Below are 15,042 nucleotides of genomic sequence, written 5' to 3' on the forward strand. Positions count from 1 at the left end.
TTTTGTTAGCCAGGCAGTAGATTCTACAACCAGATCTGAAGCTATATTTTTCTAGATTTATGCTATTAGAGTGTTAAAAAATCTAGTAAAAATTTCTAATTTCTAATTATTTGTAATTATTAGCTAATAATTTCTAATTATTAGCAAAATTTTTTTTTTGAGACAGGGTCTCACTCTGTTGCCCGGGCTGGAGTGCAGTGGGGTGATCATGGTTCACTGCAACCTTGACCTCCCGCGCTCAAGTGATTCTCCCACCTTAGCCCCCCAAGTAGCTGGGAATACAGGCGTGCGCCACCATGCCTGGCTAATTTTTTATTTTTTGTAGAGTTGGGGTCTCCCTATGTTATGCTAGCTGTTCTCAAACTCCTGGGCTCAGCAATCCTACTGCCTCTGCCTCTGAATGTGCTGGAATTATAGGTGTGAGCTACCACACCCAACCATTCCCAGGCATTTCTGAGTGACAGTTCCCCCTCTGGAAAGCCTGCCTCAATTATAAAAATATTAGTTGCTTCATACACTGAAGAAAAATATAATCCAGTCATAATTACAGATTACGTTATGATCTTTGGCCTATATCTTCACTAAGTCTTCAAGCTGATACGGATTATTTGGATGTATGAAATGGTTCTTAGTTTGTGAATGTATTAACCTGGCCAAGGCAGATATATTACTCTTATTGCTGTTTCTGTTAAAATATTATCATTTGTTTATTTTGTTTTGCTTTTTTTAATAGGTAATTTTAATATTTATGTTTCAATCCTACAGAGAGTTTAAAAAAATCATTCTAGTGTTTATGCTGGGAAGGTTACAATTAATAAAAATAAGTTTGTGTTCTTTACTCCTTTAAGGTCAAGTAGACAAGTATGCACTTGCACTTACTGTAAAGTAGAAAAACAACTATTACAGACAGAGTTTTATTTAAAAAGAGTTAATTTGTAAGATTTTTAGGCCGGGTATGGTGGCTTATACCTTTAATCCCAGCTCTTTGGGAGGCTGATGTGAGAGGATCACTTGAGCCCAAGAATTGTTTGAGACCAGCCTGGGCAACATGGCAAAAACCCATCTCTACAAAAAATACAAAAAAATTAGTTGGGCATGGTGGTGCATGCCTGTAGTCCCAGTTACTCAAGAGGCTGAGGCTGGAGGATTGCTTGAGCTGAGATTATACCACTGCAGTCCAGCCTGGGTGACAGAGTGAGACCCGGTCTCAAAAAAATTTTTTTTTTTTTTTTTTTTTTTTTTTTTTAAGTTTTAAAGGTTATAAATATATGAATATGTTGTTTCCAGAGTAGTTCAGTTATTTGGGGGAATAGATGGGAGAAAATGTGATTATATTTACATGATTTCTTTTTTTTTCAGGTAACAGACTGGGTTGACCCATCATTTGATGATTTTCTAGAGTGTAGTGGCGTCTCTACTATTACTGCCACATCATTAGGTGTGAATAACTCAAGTCATAGAAGAAAAAATGGGCCTTCTACATTAGAAAGCAGCAGATTTCCAGCGAGAAAAAGAGGAAATCTATCTTCCTTAGAACAGATTTATGGTTTAGAAAATTCAAAAGAATATCTGTCTGAAAATGAACCATGGGTGGATAAATATAAACCAGAAACTCAGGTACTGAAAAGCATGCAGACATATCTACATAATTTAATTTCAGGGTGCATAAGGGTAGATGGGAAGCAGAGGGATTTACATTTTCAGATTTTTTACTCATAAGAATCTTTCTAAGTGTTAGAAAAAATTCTGGATTTTTTTATTTTCCAAGGCTTAGATTTTTCTCAATAGTTATTCTAAAGTTGTATGATTAGTTGTCTTAGATTTAATTTAATCCCAACATAGAATTGATCTTTTTAAAAATTTTTGTACTAAATGTAATACTCCTCTCTACTGTCTTCTCAAAATGTATTTCTGAATTTTAAAAAATGTTATAACTGCAAACTTGCCAAAATTATCATACAGAGGTATCAACTTAAGAATATAATTTTTCCATAATAGTATAAAAATTCAAGTATAATCAAAAGGATCATTTTATTATATAGATTGTTACTGATTTGCTACTTCTTTTCGTTAATAATGCTTAGGTTCATATGTGCTGATGTACCAAAAAATCTTCAGTTAAGAAGTTTTGTTTTAAATTTGAAATTTTTGTTGTAGCATGAACTTGCTGTGCATAAAAAGAAAATTGAAGAAGTCGAAACCTGGTTAAAAGCTCAAGTTTTAGAAAGGCAACCAAAACAGGTAACTAAGAAATGTGTTTTTAAATATTTAACATCAAATATTTTTCTGACTTACAGTGTGTTGTTAGAAGTTAAAGTTTTATGATGATTTTGTTCAAAATAAGTCTAGATCTCCTGCAGTAGAAAGCTCCCTAGTGGGGCATGGTGACTCATGCCTGTAATCCCAGCACTTTGGGAGGCCAAGGCAGGAGGATCACTTGAGCCCAGGAGTTCGAGAGCAGCCTGGGCAACATAGGGAGACTGTCTCTACAGCTAATTAGCTGGGCATTGTGGTGCATGCCTCTGGTCTCAGCTACTTGGGAAGCTGAGGTGGGAGGATCGCCTGAGCCCAGAAGGTGGAAGCTGCAGTGAGCTGTGATCACACTAGTACACTCTAGCCTGGGCAACAGAGCAATACCAAAAACCGTAAAAAGCAAAACAAAACAAAAAGCGAAAAAGAAAGCTTCATGACTTTACTACTTCCAACTTGACTAAAAGACTCAGAGACTTTGAGTTTTCCCCTTTATTTGTAACTCTTTTTCTTTATGTCTTATTGTTAGCATAAAGAATCAGTAAACCAATTAGGGTGCTAGTGTATTTAGCACATCAGATTATCTCAGGCTGAGGAAAGCAGGCAAATTACATGTTAGTTTCTCTACTAAATATAGCCAAAAACAGTCATTATTTATTTTAGACTGATATTTTTTGTTTCACTTCCTTACTGCACAATTACCTTGAACCCCCAAGGTAGAATATTCTCTCCTTCCATCAGTCTCCCTTTTTAAATGTTTTTTATTTTGAGATTTTTCAAGCATAAAAGAAAATAGAATAATAAAAAAATATATATAGAATATACTCATTGTTTCCCCCTTAAGTATTTTAAAGTAAATTATAAACATTGTGACATTTCAGTTAGACTTTTAGATACTTCAGTATGTCTGTTTTTTTAAAAAAATGATTTTCCTAATTAATTATGCATACCATTATTCTCTCTAACAAAGTTAACCAGGATGCCGTAATGCTGTCTAATGATGAATTCATATTCACGTTTCTGCATTTGTCCCCAAAATGTCTTTTGTAGCTGGTTTGTTTCAAACAGGATAGGATCACACGTTGCATTTGGCTGTTATATATCTTAGGCCTTTTTTTTTTTCCCTGAATCTAATAATAGTTTACTAACCCTTTCTTTTCTCCAAGGCACTGACTTATGAAGGAGACCAGGCCGGTTGACTTGTAGAAGTCTCACACTGGATTTGTTAGGTTGTTTCCTCCTAATAATGATTAACTTATTCGTCTATCCTGCATTTCCTATAACCTGAAATTTTGAATCAAGGGCTTGATTAGACTCAAGTTGAACATTTTTGCAAGAATAAAGGTCATGTTGTATGTTGTATAGGGCGTCAAATTGGAAAGTATTTGTGGTTCTCCTGCTGTCTTAAGTTTGGTCACTAGATCAAAGAGATGAAAGTCAAAAATCTTCATTGTAGAGTAACTTTCCCTCACAACTGACACATAATCCATGGGGAGATACCGTGGCAGCATGTGAGTGCCCAGTTCTCCATCAGTCGTCCACCTAAGTGCTGTAGCTTCAGTTTTTCAATCCTTGCCTGAATCACTTATTTTATTAGAGTTGTACAGTAGTGACTTTCTTATAGTTCTGTTATTTCTACAGTTATTACTGGCATTTTTCTACAAAGAAAAGTTTGCCATCACTAGCTAGGGTTGTTTAGTTACCTTGAAATACATTTCCAACTAGAAAGGCAGGATAAGTTTTGTATCTTTTCCTTTTTTAAAAAATAGACTTATTTTTGGAGCAGTTTTAGGTTCACAGCCAAATTGGGTAGAAGGTACAGAGATGTACCTCATATCCCCTGCCCCAACACATGCATAGCCTTCTCCCGTTACTAACCTTCCCTCACCAGAGTAGTACATTTGTTAAAACTGATAAACCTACATTGACACATCACTAACACCCAGAGTCCATTGTTTACATTAGGTCTTTCCTTTAGTTTTCAACCTTGAGATGAAGGAGTTGGTGTTTTAGTTGCTTTGATGGTAACAGATCCTTCTCTCTTTTTTTTTTCTCGAGAGTCTTGCTTTGTCACACAGGCTAGAGTGCAGTGGCATGATCTTGGCTCACTGCAACCTCTGCCTCCTGGGTTCAAGCGATTCTCCTACCTCAGCCTCCCGAGTAGCTGGAATTACAGGCATGCGCCACCACACGCAGCTAATTTTTGTATTTTTAATAGAGACAGGGTTTCACCGTGTTGGCCAGGCTGGTCTTGAACTCCTGACCTCAGGTGATTTACCCGCCTCGGCTTCCCTAAGTGCTGGGATTGCAGGTGTGAGTCATCACGCCCAGCCAATCCTCCTCTCTTGAACCAAGCTCCTTTCTCTCTGGCCTGTGGATCTAAACCTTTTGGTTTAGGGCTAAGATCATGAATTCAAGTTGGATTTTCAGTGTCAGCATTGGTATTCCTCTGATGTTTCATAGAAATCTCGTCTCTTGTCTCCGAATACAGATTTTTGGGCAGTCTATCTGACACACCTCTTACATCCAGGCTTTTTCTCATTGATTTGTTTTTGGTCAGCTTAGCTAATAGTTTTTATTTTTCAGTGTCCATTGTGTTTTCTCACTTAGCAATACTCTGTCAGTATAAACATTGTCACATCATAAACCTACATTGGTGTTACTATTATTATTCTACCAGTTGGATAAACTTAGGTATATGTGTGTGTGTGTGTGTGTGTATATATATATATATATATATATATATATATATATACACACACACACATATATATACGTATATATATGTATATATACGTATATATATGTGTATATATACGTATATATATGCATATATATGTATATATATATGCATATATATGTATACATATATATATGCATATATATATGTATACATATATATGCATATATATGTATACATATATATATGCATATATATATGTATACATATATATATGCATATATATATATGTATACATATATATATGTATTGGGAAAAGTATTTTCTTTATGGTTTCAAAAGTTTTCCCCCTAAGGAGTTGGACTTTAATCATATACTCTGTTTATTTGTTTATTAATTTTTTAGAGACAGGGTCTTGCTAGAGACGGTTGCCTACACTGGATTGCAGAGGTGCTGTCATAGCTCACTGCAGCCTTGAACTCCTGGGCTCAAGCAGTCCTCCCACCTCAGCTTCCTGAGTAGCTGGGGACTGCAAGTGTGTGCCACCGCATCTGGCTAATTAAAAAAAAATTTTTTTGTAGAGATGGGGTCTTATGGTGTTGCCCACGCTGGTCTTGAATTCCTGGCCTCAAGTAGACCTCCCACATTGGCATCCCACAGTGTCAGAATCAATAGGCATGAGCCACACCATGCCTGGCCCAAATCACTTACCATTTATTTTACAGAAGTTTCAGGGATGTCAGTAATTAGAAAATGTTTTTATTCAAAAAAATTGGTAAGATCTAGATTTATCAATGGGCAAACGAAATTTACTTTTCAAAATTTATTTTAAATACGATATACCAAATATTTGCAGAGTTTAATTTTTCAGGACAGCTTCTTTCCTTCAAAATTCAGTAAAACTCTGTTACAGTGTAGACAAATGGGATTAACAAGATTCTTCACATTATAATGTCCTGATAAGAAACTACCTCCTAGTTCTCTTACTGGAAGGGAAACTTGCTATGTGGCTGTACCCACTCTGTCAGAAAACAGGCACTTAAGTATATTATTACATGAGAAAAATGTATAATGCCTGTGCATAGGCTTCTTTTTCTTTGTAAAGAAGTGATCTGTCTGGTATTGTAGTTCTCATTATTCAAGGTAGTTATGTTCTGTAAAGTTGCTGAATTAGCAAATACTGAACCATTATTCTAAGAAAAACACTAAATTAGGTTTTTGCAAACCTCTGGTAACAACATTTTTGTCAACCCATCAATATATAGCCTTGTTGTATATGTGTTTTTATTTAAAGTTATTTAATGTTCAGTCATGCTTCAATTAATGATGGGGATACATTCTGGGAAATGTGTCATTAGGTGACTTCATTGTTGTGAGAATATCATAGAGTGTACTTACACAAACCTCCACCTAGGCTATATGGTATAGCCTCTTGCTCCTATGCTACAAACCTGTATAGCTTGTTACTGTATTGAATACTGTAGGCAATTATAACACAGTGGGAACTATATGTGTAAATAAACATACCTAAAGCATACCATTAAAAAGTACAGTAAAAAGGCCGGGCTTGGTGGCTCAGGCCTATAATCCCAGCACTTTGGGAGGTCGAGGTGGGTGGATTACCTGATGTCAGGAATTCGAGACCAGCCTGGCCAACATGGTGAAACCCCATCTCTACTAAAAATGCAAAAATTAGCCAGGCATGGTGGTGTGTGCCTGTAGTCCCAGCTATATGGGAGGCACAAGAATCACTTGAAAGCGGGTGGCGGAAGTTGCAGTGAGCTGAGATAGTGCCACTGTGCCCCAGCCTGGGCAACAGAACAGAGACTTTGTCTCAAAAAAAAAATATTTTTTGGTAAAAACATGGTTATAAAAGATAAAAAAAATGCTAGTATACATTTATATAGGGAACTTACCATGAATGGAGCTTGGACTGGAAAATGGTTAAGTCAGTGACTGTGAGTGGTTAGTGACAGTCTAAGGACATTACTGTGCACTATTGTAGACTTTTATAAACATTGTACACTTAGGCTACACTAAACTTAAACAGTTTTTTATTTAATAAATTAACCTTCACTTACTGGAACTTTTTGTAAAGGCCATGTGAAGGACTTTATGTAGCTTTTTTACTTTATAAACTTTTAGATTCTTTGATAATAACACTTAGCTTAAAACACAAATAAATGGTACGGCTGTACAAAAATATTTTGTCTTTATATCTTTATTCTATAAATTTTTTTTGTATTTAAAAAAAAATTTTTAAGCTTCTTTTAAAATTAGAAATGAAGACACAAACACACCAATTAGCCTAGGTCTACACAGGATTAGGATCATTAATAGCACTGTCTTCCACCTCTATGTCTTGTCCACTGGAAGGTCTTCAGAGGCAACAACACGTAAGGAGCTGTCATCTCTTATGACAACAGTGCCTTCTTCTGCAGTACCTCCTGAAGGACTTGCCTGAGGCTGTTTTATAGTTAACTTCTTTTTTTTTTTTTTGACAGAGTTTCACTCTTGTTGCCCAGGCTGGAGTGCAGTGGTGCAATTTTGGCTCACTGCAACCTCTGCCTCCCGGGTTCAAGCGATTTTCTTGCCTCAGCCTCCTGAGTAGCTGGGATTACAGGAGTGCACCACCACGCCCGGGTAGTTCTTGTATTTTTAGTAGAGATGGGGTTTCTCCATGTTGGCCAGGCTGGTCTTGAACTCCTGACCTCAGATGATCTGCCTGCTTCGGCCTCCCAAAGTGCTGGGATTATAGGCGTGAGCCACTGTGCCCGGCCAACTTTTTTTTTTAAAAAACAAGTAGATTCTAATAATAAAGATGGGCACTGTAAATACATAAACCAGTAAGATAGTTGTTTATTATAATTATCAAGCATTATGTGTTACACATAATGAGATATACGTGTTACACTTTTATACAGCACAGTAGGTGTGTGTACACCAGCATTACCACAAACATGAGTGATGTTTTGCATTATTGTTACTAGGAATTTTTCAGCTCCATTATAATTTTATGAGACTACTGTTTATATGTGGTTCATCATTGACTGAAAGTTGATTATCTGGCACATGACTGTATATTGTTGATCCATATAGTTTGAACTCATGGTGAACAGCGCTATAACTCATGCACTGCCCCTTTCAAAAGTGGAGCAGGCTCTCTTTGTCCAAGTACATAGGTTCTTATTAAAGGAAAATAAACAAGAATTATAGCCTACCATTGTATGTAGGAAATCTTTTGATATTTCTGTAGCTTCAACTTTTTTTTTTTTAATCAAATTTACGGTATGAGGGAATGTTACTGGGATCCACAACCTCTAGTCTCTCGTTAGAGTCCTATCTCTGGTAAATATGTTTCTTTTTTTTCCTTTTTTTTTTTTCTGAGACAGGATCTTACTCTAATGTGCAGGATGGAGTGCAGCGGCAATCTTGGCTCATTGCAGCCTCCACCTCCCAGGCTCAAGTGATTCTTCCACCTCAGCCTCCTGACCAGCTGGGACTATAGGCGCACACCACCATGCCCAGCTAATTTTTTGTATTTTTTTTGTAGAGACAGGGTTTTGCCATGTTGACTAGGCTGGTCTCAGACTCCTGGGCTCAAGGAATCCGTCTGCCTCAGCCTCCCAAAATGCTGGGATTACAGGTGTGAGCCGCCGTGCTCTTCCCAAATATGTGTCTTAATATGCATTTCTTAAAGAATCTAATAACCAAACTGAGGTCTTTCCATAAGAATATTGTATTTGTATAACAGTAACTTATATCATCCAATGAGATGTCTATATTAAGAATAAATTTTGCTGGGAGCGGTGGCTCACATCTGTAATCCCAGCACTTTGGGAGACCATGGCGGGCAAATCACGAGGTCAGGAGATTGAGACCATCCTGGCTAACACGGTGAAACCCTGTCTCTACTAAAAATACAAAAAAATTAGCCGGGCGTGGTGGCGGGCGCCTGTAGTCCCAGCTACTCGGGTGGCTGAGGCAGGAGAATGGCGTGAACCCGGGAGGCGGAGCTTGCAGTGAGCCGAGATTATGCCACTGCACTCCAGCCTGGGTGAAAGAGCAAGACTCGTCTCAAAAAAAAAAAAAGAATAAATTTTATGAGTTCAGGTAACCTCTAAAAATCTTTGTTTCAGACATCACCTCCCTAATTTAGCCAAAGTTTAGTATTTGGCTACTAAATAGTCCTTGAGAGGGACATAATGCAAAAATTGAGAAATTATCAGAAGCGGAATTGAGAGTTGAAGAATTAAGATTCTCTTATTTCCATATTTGCAGATGTTTTTGTATGGAAAAGGGGGGAAAAAGGCAATTTTTAAAAAAGAAAAAAATAAAGCTGGTTTATTCCAGCAAGCATTATTATGAAATTTAATGTGCTTATATGAGACATTCAGCAAATATTTATAGAAGTAAATATATTTAGAATGAAAAGTCAGAAATAATATTCTAGCATTCCAGTGATTTTGGTTTTTAATTCATATTTGTATTTGATTTTAGGGTGGATCTATTTTATTAATAACAGGTCCTCCTGGATGTGGAAAGACAACGACCTTAAAAATACTATCAAAGGAGCATGGTATTCAAGTACAAGAGTGGATTAATCCAGTTTTACCAGACTTCCAAAAAGATGATTTCAAGGGGATGTTTAATACTGGTAAGATTTGCTGTGAAGGTAGTAGAAGTAGTGGGGCAAACCTGTGCTTAAGGGAGCTTTCAGATAAAGTTCTATGAGTGCATTTTTTCCCATACTTCTTGCTTTCAGAGGGATGGAATTTCACAGGCCAGGTGCGATGGCTGTCACATGGGAGGCTGAGGCAGGAGGATTGCTTCAGGCCAGGAGTTAAAGACCAGGCTGGGCAACATACAAAGAACCTGTCTACAAAAATAAAAAAATCAGCTAGGTATAGTGTTGTGTACCTGTAGTTCTAACTACTCAAGGGCTGAGGTGTGAGGATCACTTGAGCCCATGAGTTCAAGGTTGCAGTGAGCTATAGTGTTACCATCGTGCTCCAGCCTGGGCAACAGAATGAGACATTGTCTCAAAAAATAAATAAATAAAAGTTATTTCAGGAGAAGGAAAGAAAGCATGTCTCCAATGGAAGACAATGGAATTTTTTGAAGATTAAGTCTTAACTGTTTTGTTAACATATTCTTCTGTTTGCATTATTTATCTGCTTTTTTCTAAGATCTGGCTAGGAGGTTAGACAGTATTAACTAAGATATTTTATTTGTTAAATCAAGCCTTAAGATGTGTTAAAAAGAACTTGCCCCCCAACAAGATAGCTTAGATCAGTAAGTACCTGTTAGAACAATATCAAATGAAAGCAAAAGACAAAGATGTCTTTGGAATTTGGAAGGAGGCCTTAAGATAACGATTTAAAAATTGATAATAGTAACAATTTTATTTATTTTTATTTTTTTTGAGACAGAGTCTCACTCTGTCGCCCAGGCTGGAGTACAACCTCTGCCTCCCAGACTCAAGCTATTCTCATGCCTCAGCCTCCTGAGTAGCTGGGATTAGAGGCATGTGCCACCACACCCAGCTAGTTTTTGTATTTTTAGTAGAGATGGGGTTTTGCCATGTTAGCCAGTCTGGTCTCGAACTCCTGGCCTCAAGTGATCCACCTGCCTCTGCCTCCCAAAGTGCTGGGATTATAGGCGTGAGCTACCATGCGTGGCAATAGTACCAATTTAAAGATGTAATACGTTATAAGTTCATGCATATGCTTATGTACCTTAGCACTATCATTTTTATCTTTCATAGTTTTTCATATTGCAACTCCAGGTGGTGAAACTAGGGATAGCCAAATCTCCTAGGCCATTTTGAAGGGAAAAGGGTTCTGTAGAAGGATAATTTTAATGTGGAGTGTTCCTCAAAATCCCTTCTCTGGACTCTTCTTTAATGTACTCCCTTGTGCTACTAGTATCCCATCCTGCTGGGGCTTTTACTGTTTTCTTTTCTTTATTATTATTATTACTATTATTATTATTTTTTTTTTGAGATGGAGTCTTGCTCTGTCACCCAGGCTGGAGTGCAGTGGTTTGTCTCACTGCAAGCTCCGCCTCCTGGGTTCAAGCAATTCTCCTGACTCAGCCTCCCAAGTAGCTGGGATTACAGGCGTCCACCACCATGCCCGGCTTATTTTTGTATTTTTTAGTAGAGATGGGGTTTCACCACGTTGGTCAGGTTGTTTTCGAACCCCTGACCTCAGGTGATCCAACCACCTCGGCCTCCAAAAGTGCTGGGATTACAGGCGTGAGCCACCACGCCCGGCCCATTATTATTATCATTTTTTTAAGAGAGAAAGTCTCACTATATTGTCTAGAATGAACTTCTTAAGCATTTAAGGGATTCTCACGACCCAACCTCTGGGGTAGCTGGGACTACAGACGTGTGTTCCTGCATCTGGCTTTTACTGCTTTCTAAATAGTAGCATTACTTTTGACAGTCTGATAAGCTTTAACTTAAACAGTCTTCAATATGAAACATGCCTTCAGAGAGCTTCCCTCATTCTCAAGTTCACTAATCAGTTATTCTGTTTTTGTTGTTAAACCTTTATCACTCCAGCCTGACCAACATGGAGAAACCCCGTCTCTACTAAAAATTCAATAATTAGCCAGGCGTGGTGGTGTGTTCCTGTAATCCCAGCTACTCAGGAGGCTGAGGCAGGAGAATTGCTTGAACCTGGGAGGTGGAGGTTGCAGTGAGCCAAGATTGCGCCACTGCACTCCAGCCTGGGCGACAGAGCAAGATTCCGTCTCAAAACAAACAAACCAAACCCTTATCACTGAAGGTAATTCATTTATAGGCTTGAACTCATTTAGAGATTCTTCATTGGGTAGGCCACAGTCATAGATATTTTTACCAATTATATGAATGTTATACCGACAGCTGTGTTCTTAGGTCAGTTAACTCCATATTACACAGGGTCTCACTCTGTCACCCAGGCTGGAGTGCAGTGACACAATCTTGGCTCACTGCAACCTCCACCTCCTGGGCTCAAGCTATTACCCCCACCCTCTGCCTCAGCCCTGCAAGTAGCCAGAACTACAGGCACAAGCCTCCACACCTGGCTAATTTGTGTATTTTTTTGTAGAGACCGGGTTTCACCATGTTGCCCAGGTTGCTCTTGAATTCCTGAGGTCAAGCGATCCACCTGCCTCGGCCTCCCAAAGTGCTGGGATTACAGGCGTGAGCCACTGTGCCTGGCTACATGTTGACTCTTGTCCTTTGAAAGGAATATCCTATTTTAAATTTAAATGATTTTTCCTAATTGGGAAATAGTCTACAGTATTGTGAGATGCATCAAGTATGTGTGTGTGTACATACAGATGTATAATATTAATGTATATCATTTGTTGAAAATAAAAGTGGTTATGTGTTTCCTTTCAGAATCAAGCTTCCATATGTTTCCCTATCAGTCTCAGATAGCAGTTTTCAAAGAGTTTCTACTAAGAGCGACAAAGTATAACAAGTTACAAATGCTTGGAGATGATCTGAGAACTGATAAGAAGATAATTCTGGTTGAAGTAAGGACAACTTTTAAAATCTTTTTTTTTTTTTTTTTGAAATGGAGTCTTGCTGTGTCACTGTCACCCAGGCTGGAGTGCAGTGGCGCGATCTCAGCTCATTGCAAGCTCTGCCTCCCAGGTTCACGCCATTCTCCTGCCTCAGCCTCCGGAGTAGCTGGGACTACAGGCGCCCGCCACCACGCCCGGCTAATTTTTTGTATTTTTTAGTAGAGACGGGGTTTCACTGTGTTAGCCAGGATGGTCTCGATCTCCTGACCTCATGATATGCCCACCGTGGCCTCCCAAAGTGCTGGGATTACAGGCGTGAGCCACCATGCCTGGCCTAAAATCTTTTTTTTTTTTTTTTTTTTGAGACAGAGTCTCTCTTTAACCCCTAGGCTGGAGTGCAGTGGTGCAGTCTTGGCTCACTGCCACCTCCGCCTCCTGGGTTGAAACAATTCTCATGCCTCAGCCTCCCCCGAGTAGTGGGGATTACAGGAACCTGCCACCATGCCGGCCTAATTTTTGTATATTTAGTAGAGATGGAGTTTTGCCACGTTGGCCAGGCTGGTCTCAAACTCCTGACCTCAAGGTAATCCTCCCGCCTTGGCCTCCCGAGTGCTGGGATTACACATGTGAGCCACCACACCCAGCCAACTTTTAAAATTTTGCTGTAGCTATTGACTAAACAATTGTGAGATATATCTTACATGATAATGTTAACTTGTCTCTATAGTAGTGATATTGGTAAAATACAACACAAAGGCTTTGTAATAGTAGAAACCTAAAGTCTCTTCTAGTAAACTTGAATGGAATAGCTGTAGGATAAGGAATGTTATAAATTTTAATGGTTTAAGTATAGAAAAACAAAAGAAAAGTTTGGAAAATTACTTCCTAGTGAAAATACTGTAACTGGAAAGCAACCCAAAGAAATTTGATCTAAAAATTGGGATCCCCATTGATGTATATTACTGTTTCGGATATCATCTATTTCATGTTTCCTGTGAAAGTTCTGTTTAAAATACATTGAATAAATATATTTTTGCCTACCTCAATAAATATAAATTTGAAAAATAAATTTGCAATGGAATAAAACTATACTATTATTTATTTTTTATTTTCAATAGGATTTACCTAACCAGTTTTATCGGGATTCTCATACTTTACATGAAGTTCTAAGGTAGGTTTCAGTGAAGTATTCTAAAACTCCAAATTAAATGAGAAGTGGCTTAAATTTCAACATTGCTGTATTTTGTTATTTTAGGAAGTATGTGAGGATTGGTCGATGTCCTCTTATATTTATAATCTCGGACAGTCTCAGTGGAGATAATAATCAAAGGTTATTGTTTCCCAAAGAAATTCAGGAAGAGTGTTCTATCTCAAATATTAGGTAAGAAAGAAATTTCTGCTTATAAAGGTCACATACATATTATATTTTTAAATTAATCATTTAACTGCTATCTTTCTTTATAAAACTTAGTTTCAACCCTGTGGCACCAACAATTATGATGAAATTTCTTAATCGAATAGTGACTATAGAAGCTAACAAGGTAAGTCTCTGATTAATTAAACCTTACTCGATAACTATAGAAAGCCTAGCTTAAATAGTATTATGTAAACTGAAGGAGTGTTATTTTAATTTTTTAGAATTAAAACATTTTATTATACTCATAAGGCATGTCATTTTAGCAAATGTAGGAAATACTGATTTTAAAAATCTTTAACATTTTTCTACTATTAAACTTTCACTTTCACATTGAGGTAAATTTTTCCTTTGCTTGGTTTACTGTTCTAAATTGTGTCTGTCATCAAGAAAATGTTTTCTGGCATGTAGGTATGGTAGTTATCAACAATTCAACTCTTCCTATTGTCCTGTTGTCACTTTTTTATTTTCACATTTTTTTTAATTATGGTGAAAAACATGTATCATAAAATTTATCATCTTAACCATTTTCAAAGATACACTTCAGTATTGTAAAGTCTATTTACATTCATATACAGCTGTTGTCACTTTTTTTTTTTTTTTGGAGACAGGGTCTCACTCTGTTGCTCAGGCTGGACTGCAGTGGCATAATCATGGCTCACTGCAGCCTCGACCTCTTGGGCTCAAGTGTTCCTCCCACCTCAGCCTCCCAAGCAGCTGGGACTACAGGCTGGTACCACCACGCCTGGCTAATTTTTTAATTTTTTTTAGAGACAGGGTCTCTCTGTGTTGCCCAGGCTGGTCTCGAATTCCTGGCTCAAGTGATCCTCCCTCCTCGGCCTCTGAAAGTGCTGAGATTTCAGGCATGAGCCTCTGTGCCCGGCTTCTTTTCACTTTTAGTACGTCATTTTTTCTGTATTTCAAATCAAGATGATGTTAAAAAAAAATTGATGGACCTTCTGCTCCCAGCGTCATGGTTTTAGGGAATCCTATTGGTATAAATCAACCAAATCTTGCATGAAACATAATTTTTGTTGCACTGCTAGGACCACAGGAACTGAGGGAAATATCCAAGGGAGAGGTTGTTTTGAGGATTAAATACGTTAGTGTAGAGCACCTAACTGAATAAATAACAGATATTAATAGTGAAAAATGAGAAACAAACTGAGTCCAA

The 15,042-nt window shown here is 37.8% G+C and overlaps 1 protein-coding gene across 17 annotated transcripts in view; it reads left to right on the top strand.

Moving 5' to 3' along the window:
* Nucleotides 1-15,042, top strand: part of RAD17 (RAD17 checkpoint clamp loader component) — a 45,509-nt gene that overhangs the window by 3,178 nt on the left and 27,289 nt on the right. For 14 of the 17 annotated variants that reach the window (NM_133343.2, XM_017009681.2, NM_133338.3 and 11 more), the window contains 7 exons: nt 1,360-1,617; nt 2,158-2,241; nt 9,431-9,587; nt 12,327-12,463; nt 13,573-13,625; nt 13,710-13,835; nt 13,926-13,995. In NM_133343.2, coding sequence (NP_579921.1) covers nt 1,360-1,617; nt 2,158-2,241; nt 9,431-9,587; nt 12,327-12,463; nt 13,573-13,625; nt 13,710-13,835; nt 13,926-13,995 — 885 coding nt within the window. The remainder of the gene's footprint in view (nt 1-1,359; nt 1,618-2,157; nt 2,242-9,430; nt 9,588-12,326; nt 12,464-13,572; nt 13,626-13,709; nt 13,836-13,925; nt 13,996-15,042) is intronic. The other 3 variants (XM_047417461.1, XM_047417462.1, NM_133341.2) reach the window with 1 other exon arrangement.

This window comes from Homo sapiens, chromosome 5 (assembly GCF_000001405.40).
Source record: "Homo sapiens chromosome 5, GRCh38.p14 Primary Assembly".
Lineage (NCBI taxonomy): Eukaryota > Metazoa > Chordata > Mammalia > Primates > Hominidae > Homo > Homo sapiens.